This window comes from Homo sapiens, chromosome 15 (genome assembly GCF_000001405.40).
Source record: "Homo sapiens chromosome 15, GRCh38.p14 Primary Assembly".
NCBI lineage: Eukaryota > Metazoa > Chordata > Mammalia > Primates > Hominidae > Homo > Homo sapiens.
In genome coordinates this window covers 100,069,833-100,089,132 of record NC_000015.10, presented here as the reverse complement: position 1 = coordinate 100,089,132, position 19,300 = coordinate 100,069,833, and the positions used below count along the sequence as shown (strand labels likewise).

The following is a 19,300-nucleotide window of genomic DNA, read 5'->3' as shown; positions in this document are numbered from 1 at the left end:
GTTTGAGTTCATTGTAGATTCTGGATATTAGCCTTTTGTCAGATGAGTAGATTGCAAAAATTTTCTCTCATTCTGTAGGTTGCCTGTTCACTCTGATGGTAGTTTCTTTTGCTGTGCAGAAGCTCTTCAGTTGAATTAGATCCCATTTGTCAATTTTGGCTTTTGTTGCCATTGCTTTTGGTGTTTTAGACATGAAGTCCTTGCCCATGCCTATGTCCTGAATGGTAATGACTAGGTTTTCTTCTAGGGTTTTTCTGGTTTAGGTCTCACATGTAAGTTTTTAATCCATCTTGAATTAATTTTTGTATAAGGTGTAAGGAAGGGATCCAGTTTCAGCTTTCTACATATGGCTAGCCAGTTTTTCCAGCACCATTAATTAAATAGGGAATCCTTTCCCCATTTCTTGTTTTTGTCAGGTTTGTCAAAGATCAGATAGTTGTAGATGTGTGGTATTATTTCTGAGGGCTCTGTTCTGTTCCATTGGTCTATATCTCTGTTTTGGTACCAGTACCATGCTGTTTTGGTTACTGTAGCCTTGTAGTATAGTTTGAAGTCAGGTAGTGTGATGCCTCCAGCTTTGTTCTTTTGGCTTAGGATTGACTTGGCGATGCGGGCTATTTTTTTGGTTCCATATGAACTTTAAAGTAGTTTTTTCCAATTCTGTGAAGAAAGTCATTGGTAGCTTGATGGAGATGTCATTGAATCTATAAATTACCTTGGGCAGTATGGCCATTTTCACAATATTGATTCTTCCTACCCATGAGCATGGAATGTTCTTCCATTTGTTTGTATCCTCTTTTATTTCATTGAGCAGTGGTTTGTAGTTCTCCTTAAAAGGTCCTTCACATCCCTTGTAAATTGGATTCCTAGGTATTTTATTCTCTTTGAAGCAATTGTGAATGGGAGTTCACTCATGATTTGGCTCTCTGTTTGTCTGTTATTGGTGTATAAGAATGCTTGTGATTTTTGTACATTGATTTTGTATCCTGAGACTTTGCGGAAGTTGCCTATCAGCTCAAGGAGATTTTGGGCTGAGATGGTGGGGTTTTCTAGATATACAGTCATGTCATCTGCAAACAGGGACAATTTGACTTCCTCTTTTCCTAATTGAATACCCTTTATTTCCTTCTCCTGCCTGACTGCCCTGGCCAGAACTTCAAACATTGTGTTGAATAGGAGTGGTGAGAGAAGGCATCCCTGTCTTGTGCCACTTTTCAAAGGGAATGCTTCCAGTTTTTGCCCATTCAGTATGATGTTGGCTGTGGGTTTGTCATAGATAGCTCTTATTATTTTGAGATACGTCCCATCAATACCTAATTTATTGAGAGTTTTTAGCAAGAAGCATTGCTGAATTTTGTCAGAGGCCTTTTCTGCATCTATTGAGATAATCATGTGGTTTTTGTCTTTGGTTCTGTTTATATGCTGGATTACGTTTCTTGATTTGTGTATGTTGAACCAGCCTTGCATCCCAGGAATGAAGCCCACTTGATCATGGTGCATAAGCTTTTTGATGTGCTGCTGGATTCGGTTTGCCAGTATTTTAATGAGGATTTTTGCTTCAATGTTCATCAAGGATATTGGTCTAAAATTCTCTTTTTTGGTTGTGTCTCTGCCTGGCTTTGGTATCAGGATGATGCTGGCCTCATAAAATGAGTTAGGGAGGATTCCCTCTTTTTCTATTGATTGGAATAGTTTCAGAAGGAATGGTACCAGCTCCTCCTTGTACCTCTGGTAGAATTCGGCTGTGAATCCATCTGGTCCTGGACATTTTTTGGTTGGTAAGCTATTAATTATTGCCTAAATTTTTGAGCCTGTTATTGGTCTATTCAGAGATTCAACTTCTTCCTGGTTTCGTCTTGGGAGGGTGTATGTGTTGAGGAATTTATCCATTTCTTCTAGATTTTCTAGTTTATTTGTGTAGAGGTGTTTATAAGATATGATGGTAGTTTGTATTTCTGTGGGATCAGTGGTGATATCCCCTTTATCATTTTGTATTGTGTCTATTTGATTCTTCTCTGTTTTCTTCTTTATTAGTCTTGCTAGTGGTCTATCAATTTGTTGATCTTTTCAAAAAATCAGCTCCTGGATTCATTGATTTTTTGAAGGGTTTTTTGTGTCTCTATTTCCTTCAGTTCTGCTCTGATCTTAGTTATTTCTTGCCTTCTGCATGCTTTTGAATGTGTTTGCTCTTGATTCTCTGGTTCTTTCAATTGTGATGTTAGGGTGTCAATTTTAGATCTTTCCTGCTTTCTCTTGTGGGCATTTAGTGCTATAAATTTCCCTCTACACACTGCTTTGAATGTGTCCCAGAGATTCTGGTATGTTGTGTCTTTGTTCTCATTGGTTTCAAAGAACCTCTTTATTTCTGCCTTCATTTTGTTATGTACCCAGTAGTCATTCAGGAGCATATTTTTCAGTTTCCATGTAGTTGAGCGGTTTTGAGTGAGTTTCTTAATCCTGAGTTCTAGTTTGATTGCACTGTGAGAAACAATTTGTTATAATTTCTGTTGTTTTACATTTGCTGAGGAGTACTTCACTTCCAACTAAGTGGTCAATTTTGGAATAAGTGTGGTGTGGTGCTGAGAAGAATGTATATTCTGTTGATTTGGGGTGGAGAGTTCTATAGATGTCTATTAGGTCTGCTTGGTGCAGAGCTGAGTTCAATTCCTGGATATCCTTGTTAACTGTCTGTCTCGTTGATCTGTCTAATGTTGACAGTGGGGTGTTAAAGTCTCCCATTATTATTGTGTGGGAGTCTAAGTCTCTTTCTAGTCACTAAGGACTTGCTTTATGAATCTGGGTGCTCCTGTATTGGGTGCATATATATTTAGGATAGTTAGCTCTTCTTGTTGAATTGATCCCTTTACCATTATGTAATGGCCTTCTTTGTCTCTTTTAATCTTTGTTGGTTTAAAGTCTGTTTTATCAGAGACTAGGATTGCAACCTCTGCCTTTTTCTGTTTTCCATCTGCTTGGTAGGTCTTCCTTCATCCCTTTATTTTGAGCCTATGTGTGTCTCTGCACATGAGGTGGGTTTCCTGAATACAGCACACTGATGGGTCTTGACTCTTTATCCAGTTTGCTAGTCTGTGTCTTTTAATTGGAGCATTTAGCCCATTTACATTTAAGGTTAATATTGTTATATGTGAATTTGATCCTGTCATTATGATATTAGCTGGTTATTTTGCTCATTAGTTGATGCAGTTTCTTCCTAGCCTTGATGGTCTTTACAATTTGGCTTGTTTTTGCAGTGGCTGTTACCAGTTGTTCCTTTCCATGTTTAGTGCTTCCTTCAAGAGCTCTTGTAGGGCAGGCCTGGTGGTGACAAAATCTCTCAGCATTTGCTTGTCTGTATAATATTTTATTTCTCCTTCACTTATGAAGCTTAGTTTGGCTGGATATGAAATTCTGGCTTGAAAATTCTTTTCTTTAAGAATGTTGAATATTGGTCCCCACTCTCTTCTGGCTTATAGAGTTTCTGCCGAGAGATCAGCTCTTCGTCTGATGATGGGCTTGCCTTTGTGGGTAACCCGACCTTTCTCTCTGGCTGCCCTTAACATTTTTTCCTTGATTTCAACTTTGGTGAATCTGACAATTATGTGTCTTGGAGTCGCTCTTCTCGAGGAGTATCTTTGTGGTGTTCTCTATATTTCCTGAATTTGAGTGTTGGCCTGCCTTGCTAGATTGGGGAAGTTCTCCTGGATAATATCCTGCAGAGTGTTTTCCAACTTGGTTGCGTTCTCCTCGTCACTTTCAGGTCCACCAATCAGATGTAGATTTGGTCTTTTCACATAGTCCCATATTTCTTGGAGGCTTTGTTCGTTTCTTTGTATTCTTTTTTCTCTAAACTTCTCTTCTCACTTCATTTCATTCTTTCATCTTCCATCGCTGATACCCTTTCTTCCAGTTGATCACGTCGGCTACTGAGGCCTTGTGCATTTGTCACGTAGTTCCTGTGCCATGGCTTTCAGCTCCCTCAGGTCCTTTAAGGACTTCTCTGCATTGGTTATTCTAGTTAGCCATTCATCTAATATTTTTTCAAGGTTTTTAACTTCTTTGCCATGGGTTCGAACTTCCTCCTTTAGCTTGGAGTAGTTTGATCTTTTGAAGCCTTCTTCTGTCAGCTCATCAAAGTCATTCTCCATCCAGCTTTGTTCCATTGCTGGTGAGGAGCTGTGTTCCTTTGGAGGAGGAGAGGCGCTCCGATTTTTAGCGTTTCCAGTTTTTCTGCACTGTTTTTTCCCCATGTTGGTGGTTTTATCTACCTTTGGTCTTTGATGATGGTGATGTACAGATGGGTTTTTGGTGTGGATGTCCTTTCTGTTTGCTAGTTTTCCTTCTGACAGTGAGGACCCTCAGCTACAGGTCTGTTGGATTTTGCTGGAGTTCCACTGCAGACCCTGTTTGCCTGGGTATCAGGAGCAGTGGCTGCAGAACAGCGCCTATTGGTGAATTGCAAATGCTGCTGCCTGATCGTTCCTCTGGAAGTTCTGTCTTGGAGGAGTACCCAGTCGTGTGAGGTGTCAGTCCGCCCCTACAGGGGGGTGCCTCCCATTTAGGCTACTCGGGGGTCAGGGACCCAACTTGAGGAGGCAGTCTGCCTGTTCTCAGATCTCAAGCTGCATGCTGGGAGAACTACTACTCTCTTCAAGGCTGTCAGAAAGGGACATTTAAGTCTGCAGAGGTTTCTCCTGCCTTTTGTTTGTCTGTGCCCTGCCCCCAGAGGTGGAGTCTACAGAGGCAGGCAAGCCTCCTTGAGCTGTGGTGGGCTCCACCCAGTTCGAGCTTCCCGGCGGCTTTGTTTACCTACTCAAGCCTCGGCAATGGCGGACACCCCACCCCCAGCCTCGCTGCCACCTTGCAGTTTGATCTCAGACTGCTGTGCTAGCAATGAGCGAGGCTCTGTGGGCATGGGACCCTCCCAGCCATGCGCGGGATATAATCTCCCAGTGTGCCATTTGTTAAGCCCATTGTAAGAGTGTGGTATTAGGGTGGGAGTGACCCGATTTTCCAGGTGCCGTCTGTCACCCCTTTCTTTGACTAGGAAGGGGAATTCCCTGACCCCTTTCACTTCCCGGGTGAGGTGATGCCTCACCCTGCTTCGGCTCACTCACGGTGCACTGCACCCACTGTCCTGCACCCACTGTCCAGCACTCCCCAGTGAGATGAACCTAGTACCTCAGTTGGAAATGCAGAAATCACCCGTCTTCTTCATCGCTCACACTGGGAGCTGTAGACTGGAGCTGTTCCTATTTGGTCATCTTGGCTCAAAAACCTTGCCCTTGCTCTAGAGCCACTGGAGGGGGAAGGGCCAAGTGCCAGCTGCTCTGGCATGCCAGCATCACTATTCCCAAGTCACATGTGGTTGGAAAGCATCATACTAGATGACCACACAACTGCCTGGGGATCAGGGCACAACAATAAGGCACCAACTGCCCTCAAACTAGACTTTGTTTACATTTGTGAAGTCTCTCCAAACATCCTGCAGGACATTTATTTGTAAACATCCAAGGCTAGGTCTGTGGTAACAATGCCAAGGCATTTGCTGTCAAGGCTGAAGGACACTGCTAAACTTTCTGACTGAGAAACTTTCTTTCTGGATGATTGAACATGTGGTTGTTTTCAGGTCTTCAAAAGATAACCTGAAAATGAATGAAAAGGAACTTCTTGAAAGGTTTAGGGAGAAGAAGGACATCTCAGGTGGAAGTTCCTCTATGGATGGAACAGAATGAATATACTTGGTTTTGCTGAAATAAACAAGCAAACAAAACTAAAGTAAAAGTGCCTCCTAGATCTCAGTGGCTTAACACAAAAGTCTGCTTCCAGCCCCTGCTGCTTGCACACTGTGGGTCAGCAGGAGGCCCTGCAGAGTGAGGTCACTCCTGGAACTAGGCTGGCAGAGACTTTATCTGTTCACAGGCTGCCACAGTCACCTTGGCAAGGAAAGGGAGTATGGCAAACCAGGCCCTGAGGTGCTTCAGGCTCCTGCGGGGAAGCGACACACCTCATTTTCACTTACATTTTACTCTTCAAGTCACATGGTCACACACGTTTAAGTGGCCGGTGAAATGTGTTACTTCCATATTTCCAGAGAAAGACTTGGAAATATTTGTGGCCAGCACCATAACACAGCAGCTCTAGGAGTTTTCCCACAACACAGCACCTCTAGGAAACGCCTCTTCATTCTGGTATTTTGGTTGCCAACACAGCAACAGCTCCCTGCACCCAGCAGAAAGCCAATCCTGAGAGTAAGCAAACCCTGCGCATCCCCACGGGAGACCACCCAGCTGCAGCCTCCTGGTTCTTGAAGGAGAGTCTGCAACACAAATGAGAAAAACCAAGATGAACTGAAAAAAAAAAAAAAAAGACTAACGAGAAAAAGTAACTCAAATAATATAAGTTCTCTAATAACTATTTGTAGAAAGATTTAAGATGATATCGTAGCCACAAAACAAGAACAGAATGCCATGGGAAGGAACAATCAGAAAACAAAAAAGAGATCTCAAAAATTAAAAATATGACTATCAGACCAGCCTGAGCAACATGGCGAAACCCTGCCTCTACAAAAAATACAAAAAAATCAGGTAGACACGGTGGTGTGTGCCTGAAGTCCCCACTACTCAGGAAGCGGGGGCAGGAGGATTGCATGAGCTGGGGTGGGGGTGCAGAGGTTACAGTTAGCTGAGATCACGCCACTGCACTCCATCCTGGGCAACAGACTGAGACCCTGTCTCAAAAAAAAAAAAAGACTATCAAAACCATGCAATAAGGCCAGGCACGGTGGCTCACGCCTGTAATCCCAGCACTTTGGGAGGCCAAGGTGGGTGGATCATGAGGTCAAGAGATGGAGACCATCCTGGCTAACATGGTAAAACCCCATCTCTACCAAAAATACAAAAATTAGCTGGGCGTGGTGGCACGTGCCTGTAGTCCCAGCTACTCGGGAGGCCGAGGCAGGAGAATCGCTTGAACCCAGGAGGCGAAGGTTGCAGTGAGCCAAGATTGCACCGCTGCACTCCAGCCTGGGCAACAGAAGCAAGACTCTTGGTCTCAAAGAAAACAAAAAAATCAATAAAAGCAAAGAAACAACAGATGATAGACTGATAGACTGACAATTTTTGCAACATGTCTAGTAAGTAAAGAGTCTGAGTCCAAATATTATCAAATTATAGTAATATATGTTATGGACATTTTTTAAACTACTGCATCATAACTAAATAAAAGATGGTAGAAAAATGGGCAAAGCTTAAGAACAAGGCCATTAACTGAAAAGGGAAAACAAATGGTCAATAAGTGTATAGGACGCTGAGCCTTGTTGGTTATCAGGGAAATGCAAATTCAACTTATGACAACATCTTTTCACCAAATGGATTAGCAAATACTAAGAAGATTGATTTTGTCAAGTATTTAGAAATCTTTGAGTAAACGTTTACTCTCGTATAGTGTTGGTTGGCTTAAATAGTATTTAAACCAAGGTCAACTAAGCAGCACCTGTGTTTGTCTCAGTGATTCTCACAGTAGCTGACCTGGTAGGACATTATATCTATGCATAAGAAGACATGTACAAAGCCATTCATAGAAGTATTGTTTCTTTTCTAAGCAGCTTTATAAAGATAGAATTCACATGCCATATAATTCACCCATTTAAAGTGTGCGATTGAATGAGTTTTAGCACAAGGTCATGCAGCCATGTATTAGGGTTCTGTAGAGGAGATACACACATACATATATATGGGAGTTTATTAAGTAGTGTGTGTGTATGTATGTGTGCATATATATATAGGGGAGTTTATTAAGTATTAACTTACGTAATCACAACATCCCACAATAGGCTGTCCGCAAGCTGAGGAGCAAGGAGAGCCAGTCCCAGTCCCAAAACTGAAGAACTTGGGGTCTGATGTTCCAGGGCAGGAAGCATCTAGCACAGGAGAAAGATGTAGGCTGGGAGCCTAGGCCCACCTCTCCTTTTCATGTTTTTCTGCCTGCTTTGTATTTGCTGGCAGCTGATTAGATTGTGCCCACCAGATTAAGGGTGGATCTGCCTTCCCCAGCCCCCTGACCCAAATGTTAAACTCTTTTGGCAACACCCTCACAGACACATCCAGGATCAATACTTTGTATCCTTTAATCTAATCAAGTTGACACTCAGTATCAACCATCACAAGTCCACCCCAAGTCAACTTGAACCCATACACATCTCCTGAGAACACACATAGTCTTCAAATAAAGACAATAATAAGGTCATAATTACCCCTAACATACTACAGCTATCCTTCGTACAACCAGAAATACACCAATCCCCAACCCAAATACTATTACATAAAGTTAACAATACTTAACATGCTGATATGAAGTCAATAAATGTTATGTCACATGATAAAGGAAAAGGAAATATACTTTCTTAGTACAAGTGTATACATGCACAAACATGTTTTTAGCAAAAAAAGGAGGAAATAATTACAGACTTCATTTCTGCAGCTGGTCACATGGTTGTAGCTGGTATCGATAACTACCTTTTTCTACTACCCGTTCTGTATTCCCTTTGCCTTCAGCAAGCACCTCAGCAAGACGTGGGTTTTTTCTTGGTGGAGTGACCCAAACCTTCATTCCTGAATGGTCTGGGTCATTTGTAGTCCTGCCTGGATTGGGCTGTTGTAGTTTCCCATTGACCTTAGTCACAGGGCATGGTGATACTAAGAGACGCCCTAATGGATCTCCTGTATTCCATGCATACTCTTCCTTACCTCCTTTGTGGAGTAGTAGACTGATTTCATCTTGATAGTCCAGGTCAGTCACCCCAGTCAACACTGTAACTCCCTTCTTGGCCTGTTGACTTAAAGGTGGGAGGAGCCCAAAGTGTCCAGGTGGGTACCAATCTTCCAGTTTAATGGAATCATTGTGTCTCCTGGTGGCAGCATTTCTCCCTCTGGAACTAAGATCTCCAGGCCAGCAGAATGTAATGTCGGGGGAACAGGAAGCAAAAATTTTGCTAGGGGATCACTAGGGGTGATGGTGAGTGGTGTCAGTTCAGTTTCACCCCTTGATTCCTGGACCGTGAATCCTGGCTATGGGAGAAACAGTACCGTATATTGGATGCTAATTCAGAACATATACGGCCTGCTGGAGAACTTTGCCTCAGCCCTGCAAAGTGTTGTCACCTAGTTGGCATTGTAATTGTGACTTCAAAAGGCCATTCCACCGTTCTTTGCAGCCTCTTCAGGATGATGGAGAACATGGTAAGACCAGTGAATTCCATGAGCATAAGCCCACTGCCACACCTCTTTAGCTGTAAAGTGAGTGCCTTGGTCAGAGGCAGTGCTGTGTGGAATACCATGATGGTGGATAAGGCATTCCGAGACTCCACGGATGGTAGTCTTGGCAGAAGCATTTCGTGCAGGATAGGCAAACCCATATCCGGAGTAAGTGTCTATTCCAGTGAGGACAAACCACTGCCGTTTCCATGATGGAAAAGGTACAATATAATCAACTTGCCACCAGGTTGCTGGCTGATCACCCCAAGGAATGGTGCCATATCACCACAGTCATTCCCAAAAGAAACCCCATGCTTGGTAGCAGTCATTCCCCATCTCCCTCTTAAGCCCTAGGTAACCACTCATCTAATGTCTGTATCTACAAATTTGCCTATCTGGACATTTCATGTAAATGGAGTAGTATAATACGTGGTCCTTCCTGACAGGCTTTTTTCCCTTAGCATAGTATTTTCAAGTCATGCATGTTGTCACATACATCAATGTTTCTTTTTATTGCCAAATACTATTCCATTGTTTGGAGATATCACATTGTATAAATACAGTCATTGGTTGATTGGTATTTGGATTGTTTCCACTTTTTTGGCTGTTAGGAATAATGCTGATATAAACTTTTGTGTACGAGTTACCATGTGGACATGTTTTCATTTCCCTTGTGTATATACCTGGGAATGGAATTGGTGAGTGAGAATTCTGTGTTTAACTTTTGGAGTAGCTGCCAAACTCTTTTCCAAAGTGGCGGCACCACTTTACGTTTCTGGTAGCAGTGAATGAAGGCTACTGTTTCTCCATGTTCTCTCCAACTTACTGTTTTTTGTTAGAGTCATCCTAGTGGGTACAATGTGGTATGTCCTTGTGGTTTTGGTTTGCACTTCCCTAATGACTAATATATCATTAGCATCTTTTTATTTGCTTATGGATTGTTCATATATCTTTTTTGCGGAAGTGCCTGTTAAAATCCTTTGCCCATTTTTAAATTGGATTGTCATTTTCTTGTCGAGCTGCAAGCTTTCTTTATATATTCTGGATGCAGTTCCTTTATCAGACAAATGCTTTGCACAGATTTTCTCCCAGTGTATGAGTTGGCTTTTCACTCTCTTGATGGTATCTTTTGAAACACAGGTTTTCAGTTTTGATGCAATCCAGTTAAACTATTTTTTCTTTTGTTGCGTGTGCTTTTGCTGCTGTGTCTAAGAAACTATTGCCTAATTCAAGGTCATGAAGATTTACCCCTATGTTTTCTTCCAAGAGGTTTCTAGTTTTAGCTCTGATATTTACATCTGTGATCCATTTTTTAGTTAATTTTTTTGTATGGTCTGAAATAGGTGTACAACTTCATCCTTTCGCATATGGATATCCAGTTGTCCCAACACTGTTGGTTGAAGACTGTTCTTTCCCCGATGAATATTCTTGGCACCTTTGTTTAAAAAAAAATTGTTTTCTGGACTCTATATTCCATTGTTAGAAACGACTGTCCTTATGCCATTACCTTGCTGTCTTGATTGCTACAGATAGCTAGAAAGTTTTGGAATCAGGAAATCTGAGTTCTTCAACTTCTTTTGAAGTATTACTTTGGCTATTCTGGGTCTGTTGCATTTTCATCTGAATTTTAGGAACAGCTTGTCATTTTTCGCAAAAAAAAAAAAAAGCTGGGATTTTTTTATAGGGATTACGTTGAATCTGTAGACCAATTTGTGAAGCAGTTACATTTTTTACAATGTCATCTGATCCAAGAATATAAAATATCTTTCCATTTATTTAGATATTTGTTAATACCTTTCAGCAATGTATTGTAGTCTTCATCTTACAAACCCTCCAGGTCTTTTTTTAATGTATTCCTAAGTGTTTCTTTTTGATGCTACTTAAATTGAATTGTTTTTAAATTTCATTTTCCAACTGTTCATTGCTAACATATAGAAATGCAGTTGATTTTTATATATTGGCCTTGTATCCTGCAATCTTACTGAATCTGTCATATAGGTTTTTTAATGGATTCCTTGGGATTTTCTGTATATAAGATTTTAGCATCTGCAAATAGAGATAATTTTACTTCTTCTTTCCAATCTGTATGCTTTATATTTCTTTTCCTTGCCTAGTTGCCCTAGATAGAACTCCCAGTACAGTGTTGAATGGGAGTAGCAGGACGTCCTTGTCTTGTTCCTTATCTTAGGGGACAAGCATTTAGTATTTCACCATTAAATATGCTGTTAGCTGTGGAGTTTTGTAGATGCCCTTTATCAGGTTGAGCATGCTCCCTTCTATTCCTAGTTTGTTGAGTATTTTTATCAGGAAGGAGTGTTGAAATTTGTCAAATGCTTTTCCTGCACCTATTGAGATGATCTTGTGGATTTTGCTCCTTATTAACATGGAGGATTATATTGATTGATTTTTTTTTTTTTTTTGAGAGGGAGTCTCACTCTGTTGCCCAGGCTGGAGTGCAGTTGCACAATCTCGGATCACTGCAACCCTTGCCCACCGGGTTCAAGCGATTCTCGTGCCTCAGCCTCCTGAGTAGCTGGGATTACAGGCACGCACCACCATGCCAGGCTAATTTTTTTTTTTTTTTTTTTTTTTTTTTTTGTGGTAGAGATAGGGTTTCACCATGTTGGCCAGGCTGGTTGCAAACTCCTGGCCTCAAGTGTTCCACCTGTCTCAGCCTCCCAAACTGCTGGGATTACAGGGGTTAGCCAGTGTGCCCAGTCTGATTTTTCCATATGTTAAACCAAGCTTGAGTCCTAGCATAAATCATATTTGATCATAATGTAGAATCCTTTTTATATGTGGCTGGATTGGGCTTGCTAGTATTTTGTGGAGGGGTTTTCTGTGCATATTCATATATGATACAGTGTTGTTTCTTATAGTGAAAATTTTGAAACAACCTAAATGTCCATTAGTAGGTGAGTAGATATATAAACTTCATAGCGATTTAAGCAAAAAAATAGAGCTATACATAATAACATACATGATCTCTGAGACATGTTTTTAAAAATTGCAAATGTAGTATGATATAATATTGAGTTACTCCTAACATAGAATTGAGACAAATGTAAATATGAAAATACTATGCTATGTTTTTGTTTGTGTAGTATTAAACTTCTTCCAGTGAGAAAGTATACTCAAGTGTATTTGTATAAATTCAAAATATATAAATTGTTTTTTAAAAGGAAAATGACAATGAACACACTGATATCAATAAATCTATGTCCTAACGAATTTCACTGTAAACCAAGGAAAGTCCTGTTAGCCTACAACACTGTGCTATTTCTCCCTACCACACCTACTGCAAGCAGTCAGTATGATTAGAACTTGTCTCACTTTAAAATTTGAAATAAATTTACCAGCACAGGATCTATACAAGTATCCAGCAATAGGAAAAAGATAAAGGGGACAAGGAAAACATATGACTTTTTAAAAATCTTGGCAAAATCTTACCAAGGAAAAGATGAAAATTGTGACCCAGAGTTACTGCCATAAATTTCAGAAATTGATCAACAGTAGCCTTGATAAAATAGGAACTCATAGGCCAGGCACAATGGCTCACGCCTGTAACCCCAGCACTTTGGGAGGCCGGGGCAGGTGGATCACCTGAGGTCAGGAGTTCCAGACCAGCCTGCCCAACATAGTGCAACCCCATCTCTACTAAAAATACAAAAATTAGCTGTGCATGGTGGTGGGCGCCTGTAATCCCAGCTACTAAGGAAGCTGAGGTAGGAGAATTGCTTGAACCCGGAAGGTGGAGGTTGCATTGAGCTGAGATCACGGCACTGTGCTCCAGCCTAGGCAACAGAGCAAAACTCCATCTCGAAAACAAAAAAAAAGAAAGAAAATAAGAATTCATAGCTAAGATACAAAACCTCAAGAAAGAAACAGTGATACAATGAAGCAAGAAAGAGAGATGAAACGTGACTTAGCAGAATTGAGGACATACGTAGGAGAGGTCACTGAATCCATCACAGAAACCAGGTCTACGTGGAAGCAGACAGAGAAAATCAGCACTATGAGAGTGCAGTAAGAAACCTGGAGGACAGGATTGAGAAAAACAGCAGTGGAAAATGGAAATAAACAAAAAGTCCCAGGATAAAAGATCAAATGAGCACTGCAGAAGGCAAAGGAGACAAATGTATATACTTTGATATCCCCCCCAAAAGAAAACCAAGCAAATAGATCAGAAAAAAGATATGTGTACAGATAATATAGCCTTGTATCCCAGGAAAAGTTGGCACAAAGCTATGAATAGCCTAATAGTTATTAGACATTAAAGGTAAGACTCTTTTGAGCATCCCATCTAAATTTTAGAGAACCTAATAATAGGGCAGTAACCAGCAGTCCTCAGACTTCTCCACGGTCACATTTTATGGAGCCACTCATACAACAGCCTCAGAGAAAGCAAGTATGACCTCAACATGTTACAGCAGCCAAATTGACATTCAAGGATAAGGACAATGAACAGTTATTTTTTGCTGTACAGTATCATATTTCAGAAAATGGAATTCCCATAAGCCCATCTCAAAGGGAACACATTTGAGACCAGCAAGAATTTATTAGAGAAACTGGCAGAAAAATGCATAACAAACATTAAATTCCTTTTTAGGATGAAAACTAAAACAACTATAGGAATTACCTTAGAGAGTAAAAAGTAAATATGACAAACTAATACAATGTCAAAATGATATAATAAAAGTTGAAATGGGATGTGAGAAAGTAGGATGCACCATAATTATTCTCATTTCCTTATTTTGTAATATCCAGGGACAAAATTGCATCTCATAAGTTACACAATAGAAGTATAAATATACGGGCCTATGGAAGAACATTAAATAAAACAAAAATAACAACTAGAATTTATTGGTAGGGGACAGGATGAAGAAATCCAACTAAATAGTATACAGCTCCACTGTTTTCTCATTTAATGAACCAAATGGGGGTAGGAAAGTACAAATATGTAAAATAATAGAGAATAGGGAAATAAAGTATAGAGGAAATTAATAAGTCATAAGAGATTACATTGCTCGGTTCTGTAAATAAGTTTAAAACCTGTTTGAAATGAATGATTGAAAAAATTTCCCAATCGTGCCTCTATATAAAATCAACACAGATAAGTTATTATAGAAGCATAGAAATACTCCTAATTAAAGCAAGAATAATACTGATACCAAAACCGAATCCAACAAAGGAAGCATAAGAACAATTACAGAGCATTCTTAGGAATAATTTTGCAAAAGTTCTAAATATAATATTAGCAAACAATTCAGCAGCATATTAAAATAATATGCTATCACCAAGTGAGGTTTATTCTGAGATGGGAAGATGGTTTTATATTAGAAAATATATTAATATAATTATACTGTTAATAGAACAAGGTGTGAGAGCAAGAGGAAACTATGCCCTTAGATGCTGAAAGAGCATGCAGTAAAATTCAACCTTTATTCCTAACAAAACTCTTCATATGAGAATAATGTATATGTCTTTAATATGATTATATTATGCATAAAATATGTTATATATGAGATGTTATTATACACTCTATATAACCGTAAGCCCGCATTATATTCAACAGCAAAACACTGTAAGCATTCTTGTTGTAATAAAAAACAAAACAAAGGTGTACATTCTCTCCAGGAATATTTGACATTTTTCTGATGGTGCTCACCAATGCATTTAGAAAAGAAAAATGACTACGGCCGCACCGCCCCAAATGTGTCTGATCTTGTCTGATCTCAGAAGCTAAGCAAGGTCAGGTCTGGTTAGTACTTGGATGGGTGAGAAATATATATGTTTATACCATAAACAGTTCAAAAGAGTAAAACTATTACTGTGGTAGATATTATTGTGATATTATTATTTATCTTGAAAACCTAAGAGAATTAACCTTGAAAATATGACATATTATAAAAGGATTCAGGAAGTTGGGTACAAAATTAATACATAGAAATCAGTTGCCTTTTTTTAATTATACTTTAAGTTTTAGGGTACATGTGCACAACGTGCAGGTTTGTTACATATGTATACATGTGCCATGTTGGTGTGCTGCACCCATCAACTCGTTATTTAACATTAGGTATATCTCCTAATGCTATCCCTCCCCCCCTCCCCCCACCCCACAACAGTCCCCAGTGTGTGATGTTCCCCTTCCTGTATCCATGTGTTCTCATTGTTCAATTCCCACCTATGAGTGAGAACATGCGGTGTTTGGTTTTTTGTCCTTGTGATAGTTTGTTGAGAATGATGGTTTCCAGCTTCATCCATGTCCCTACAAAGGACATGAACTCATCATTTTTTATGGCTGCATAGTATTCCATGGTGTATATGTGCCACATTTTTTTAATCCAGTCTATCATTATTGGACATTTGGGTTGGTTCCAAGTCTTTGCTATTGTGAATAGTGCCGCAATAAACATACGTGTGCATGTGTCTTTATAACAGCATGATTTATAATCCTTTGGGTATACACCCAGTAATGGGATGGCTGGGTCAGATGGTATTTCTAGTTCAAGATCTCTGAGGAATCGCCACACTGACTTCCACAATGGTTGAACTAGTTTACAGTCCTACCAGCAGTGTAAAAGTGTTCCTATTTCTCCACATCCTCTCCAGCACCTGTTGTTTCCTGACTTTTTAATGATTGCCATTCTAACTGGTGTGAGATGGTATCTCATTGTGGTTTTGATTTGCATTTCTCTGATGGCCACTGATGGTGAGCATTTTTTCACGTGTCTGTTGGCTGCATAAATGTCTTCTTTTGAGAAGTGTCTGTTCATATCCTTTGCCCACTTTTTGATGGGGCTGTTTGTTTTTTTCTTGTAGATTTGAGTTCATTGTAGATTCTGGATATTAGCCCTTTGTCAGATGAGTAGATTACAAAAATTTTCTCCCATTCTGCAGGTTGCCTGTTCACTCTGATGGTAGTTTCTTTTGCTTTGCAGAAGCCCTATACTTTAATTTTGTCAATTTTGTCCCATTTGTCAATTTTGGCTTTTGTTGCCATTGCTTTTGGTGTTTTAGACATGAAGTCCTTCCCCATGCTTATGTCCTGAATGGTATTGCCTAGGTTTTCTTCTAGGGTTTTTATGGTTTTAGATCTAACATTTAAGTCTTTAATCCATCTTGAATTAATTTTTGTATAAGGTGTAAGGAGGGGATCCAGTTTCAGCTTTCTACATATGGCTAGCCAGTTTTCCCGCCACCATTTATTAAATAGGGAATCCTTTCCCCATTGCTTGTTTTTGTCAGGTTTGTCAAAGATCAGATGGCTGTAGATGTGCAGTATTATTTCTGAGGGCTCTGTTCTATTCCATTGGTCTATAGCTCTGTTTTGGTACCAGTACCATGCTGTTTTGGTTACTGTAGCCTTGTAGTATAGTTTGAAGTCAGGTAGCGTGATGCCTCCAGCTTTGTTCTTTTGGCTTAGGATTGACTTGGCAATGCGGGCTCTTTTTTGGTTCCATAGGAACTTTAAAGTAGTTTTTTCCAATTCTGTGAAGAAAGTCATTGGTAGCTTGATGGGGATGGCATTGAATCTATAAATTACCTTGGGCAGTATGGCCATTTTCATGATATTGATTCTTCCTACCCATGAGCATGGAATGTTCTTCCATTTGTTTGTATCCTCTTTTATTTCATTGAGCAGTGGTTTGTAGTTCTCCTTGAAGAGGTCCTTCACATCCCTTGTAAGTTGGATTCCTAGGTATTTTATTCTCTTTGAAGCAATTGTGAATGGGAGTTCACTCATGATTTGGCTCTCTGTTTATCTGTTACTGGTGTATAAGAAAGACTGTGATTTTTGCACATTGATTTTGTATCCTCAGACTTTGCGGAAGTTGCCTATCAGCTCAAGGAGATTTTGGGCTGAGATGGTGGGGTTTTCTAGATATACAGTCATGTCATCTGCAAACAGGGACAATTTGACTTCCTCTTTTCCTAATTGAATACCCTTTATTTCCTTCTCCTGCCTGACTGCCCTGGCCAGAACTTCCAACACTATGTTGAATAGGAGTGGCGAGAGAGGGCATCCCTGTCTTGTGCCAGTTTTCAAAGGGAATGCTTCCAGTTTTTGCCCATTCGGTATGATATTGGCTATGGGTTTGTCATAAATAGCTCTTATTATTTTGAGATACCTATCAATACCTAATTTATTGAGAGTTTTTAGCATGAAGAGTTGTTGAATTTTGTCAAAGGCCTTTTCTGCATCTATTGAGATAATCATGTGGTTTTTGTCTTTGGTTCTGTTTTCATGATGGATTACGTTTATTGATTTGCATATGTTGAACCAGCCTTGCATCCTAGGGATGAAGCCAACTTGATTGTGGTGGATAAGCTTTTTGATGGGTAAGCTTCTTGATGTGCTGCTGCATTCGGTTTGCCAGTATTTTATTGAGGATTTTTGCATCAATGTTCATCAGGGATATTGGTCTAAAATTCTCTTTTTTTGTTGTGTCTCTGCCAGGCTTTGGTATCAGGATGATGCTGGCCTCATAAAATGAGTTAGGGAGGATTCCCTCTTTTTCTATTGATTGGAATAGTTTCAGAAGGAATGGTACCAGCTCCTCCTTGTACCTCTGGTAGAATTCGGCTGTGAATCCATCTGGTCCTGGACTTTTTTTGGTTGATAAGCTATTAATTATTGCCTCAATTTCTGAGCCTGTTATTGGTCTATTCAGAGATTCAACTTCTTCCTGGTTTAGTCTTGGGAGGGAGTATGTGTTAAGGAATTTATCCATTTCTTCTAGATTTTCTAGTTTATTTGCATAGAGGTGTTTATGGTATCTCTGATGGCAGTTTGTATTTCTGTGGGATCAGTGGTGATATCTGCTTTATCATTTTTTATTGCATCTATTTGATTCTTGTCTCTTTTCTTCTTTATTAGTCTTGCTAGTGGTCTGTCAATTTTGTTGATCTTTTCAAAAATCCATCTCCTGGATTCATGGATTTTTTGAAGGGTTTTTTGTGTCTCTATTTCCTTCAGTTCTGCTCTGATCTTAGTTATTTCTTGCCTTCTGCTAGCTTTTGAATGTGTTTGCTCTTGCTTCTCTAGTTCTTTTAATTGTGATGTTAGGGTGTCAATTTTAGATCTTTCCTGCTTTCTCTTGTGGGCATTTAGTGCTATAAATTTCCCTCTACACACTGCTTTAAATGTGTCCCAGAGATTCTGGTATGTTGTGTCTTTGTTCTCGTTGGTGTCAAAGAACATCTTTATTTCTGCCTTCATTTCGTTATGTACCCAGTAGTCATTCAGGAGCAGGTTGTTCAGTTTCCATGTAGTTGAGCAGTTTTGAGTGAGTTTCTTAATCCTGAGTTCTAGTTTGATTGCACCGTGGTCTGAGAGACAGTTTGTTATAATTTCTATTGTTTTACATTTGCTGAGGAGTACTTTACTTCCAACTAAGTGGTCAATTTTGGAATAAGTGTGGTGTGGTGCTGAGAAGAATGTATATTCTGTTGATTTGGGGTGGAGAGTTCTATAGATGTCTATTAGGTCCACTTGGTGCAGAGCTGAGTTCAATTCCTGGATATCCTTGTTAACTTTCTGACTCGTTGATCTGTCTAATGTTGACAGTGGGGTGTTAAAGTCTCCCATTATTATTGTGTGGGAGTCTAAGTCTCTTTGTAGGTCACTCAGGACTTGCTTTATGAATCTGGGTGCTCCTGTATTGGGTGCATATATATTTAGTATAGTTAGCTCTTCTTGTTGAATTGATCCCTTTACCATTATGTAATGGCCTTCTTTGTCTCTTTTGATCTTTGTTGGATTAAAGTCTGTTTTATCAGACTAGGATTGCAACCCCTGCCTTTTTTTGTTTTCCATTTGCTTGGTAGATCTTCCTCCATCCTTTTATTTTGAGCCTATGTGTGTCTCTGCACATGAGATGGATTTCCTGAATACAGCACACTGATGGGTCTTGACTCTTTATCCAGTTTGCTAGTCTGTGTCTTTTAATTGGAGCATTTAGCCCATTTACATTTAAGGTTAATATTGTTATATGTGAATTTGATCCTGTCATTATGATGTTAACTGGATATTTTGCTCGTTAGTT

General features: G+C 39.8%; 1 protein-coding gene and 1 pseudogene across 16 annotated transcripts in view, besides 1 other annotated feature; both read left to right on the top strand.

The window, feature by feature from the left end:
- The window catches only part of ADAMTS17 (ADAM metallopeptidase with thrombospondin type 1 motif 17), a 370,539-nt gene that overhangs the window by 252,843 nt on the left and 98,396 nt on the right, over window positions 1-19,300 (top strand). The gene's annotated exons all lie outside the window — the stretch shown is intronic.
- Window positions 4,347-4,847: an enhancer, noted in NCBI's record as "H3K4me1 hESC enhancer chr15:100624491-100624991 (GRCh37/hg19 assembly coordinates)". NCBI's record gives its function as "activates a minimal SCP1, AML or CMV promoter by ChIP-STARR-seq in primed H9 embryonic stem cells {active_cell/tissue: H9 hESC(primed)}" and the evidence as "EXISTENCE:reporter gene assay evidence [ECO:0000049][PMID:30033119]".
- Window positions 14,943-15,052, top strand: RNA5SP402 (RNA, 5S ribosomal pseudogene 402; annotated as a pseudogene).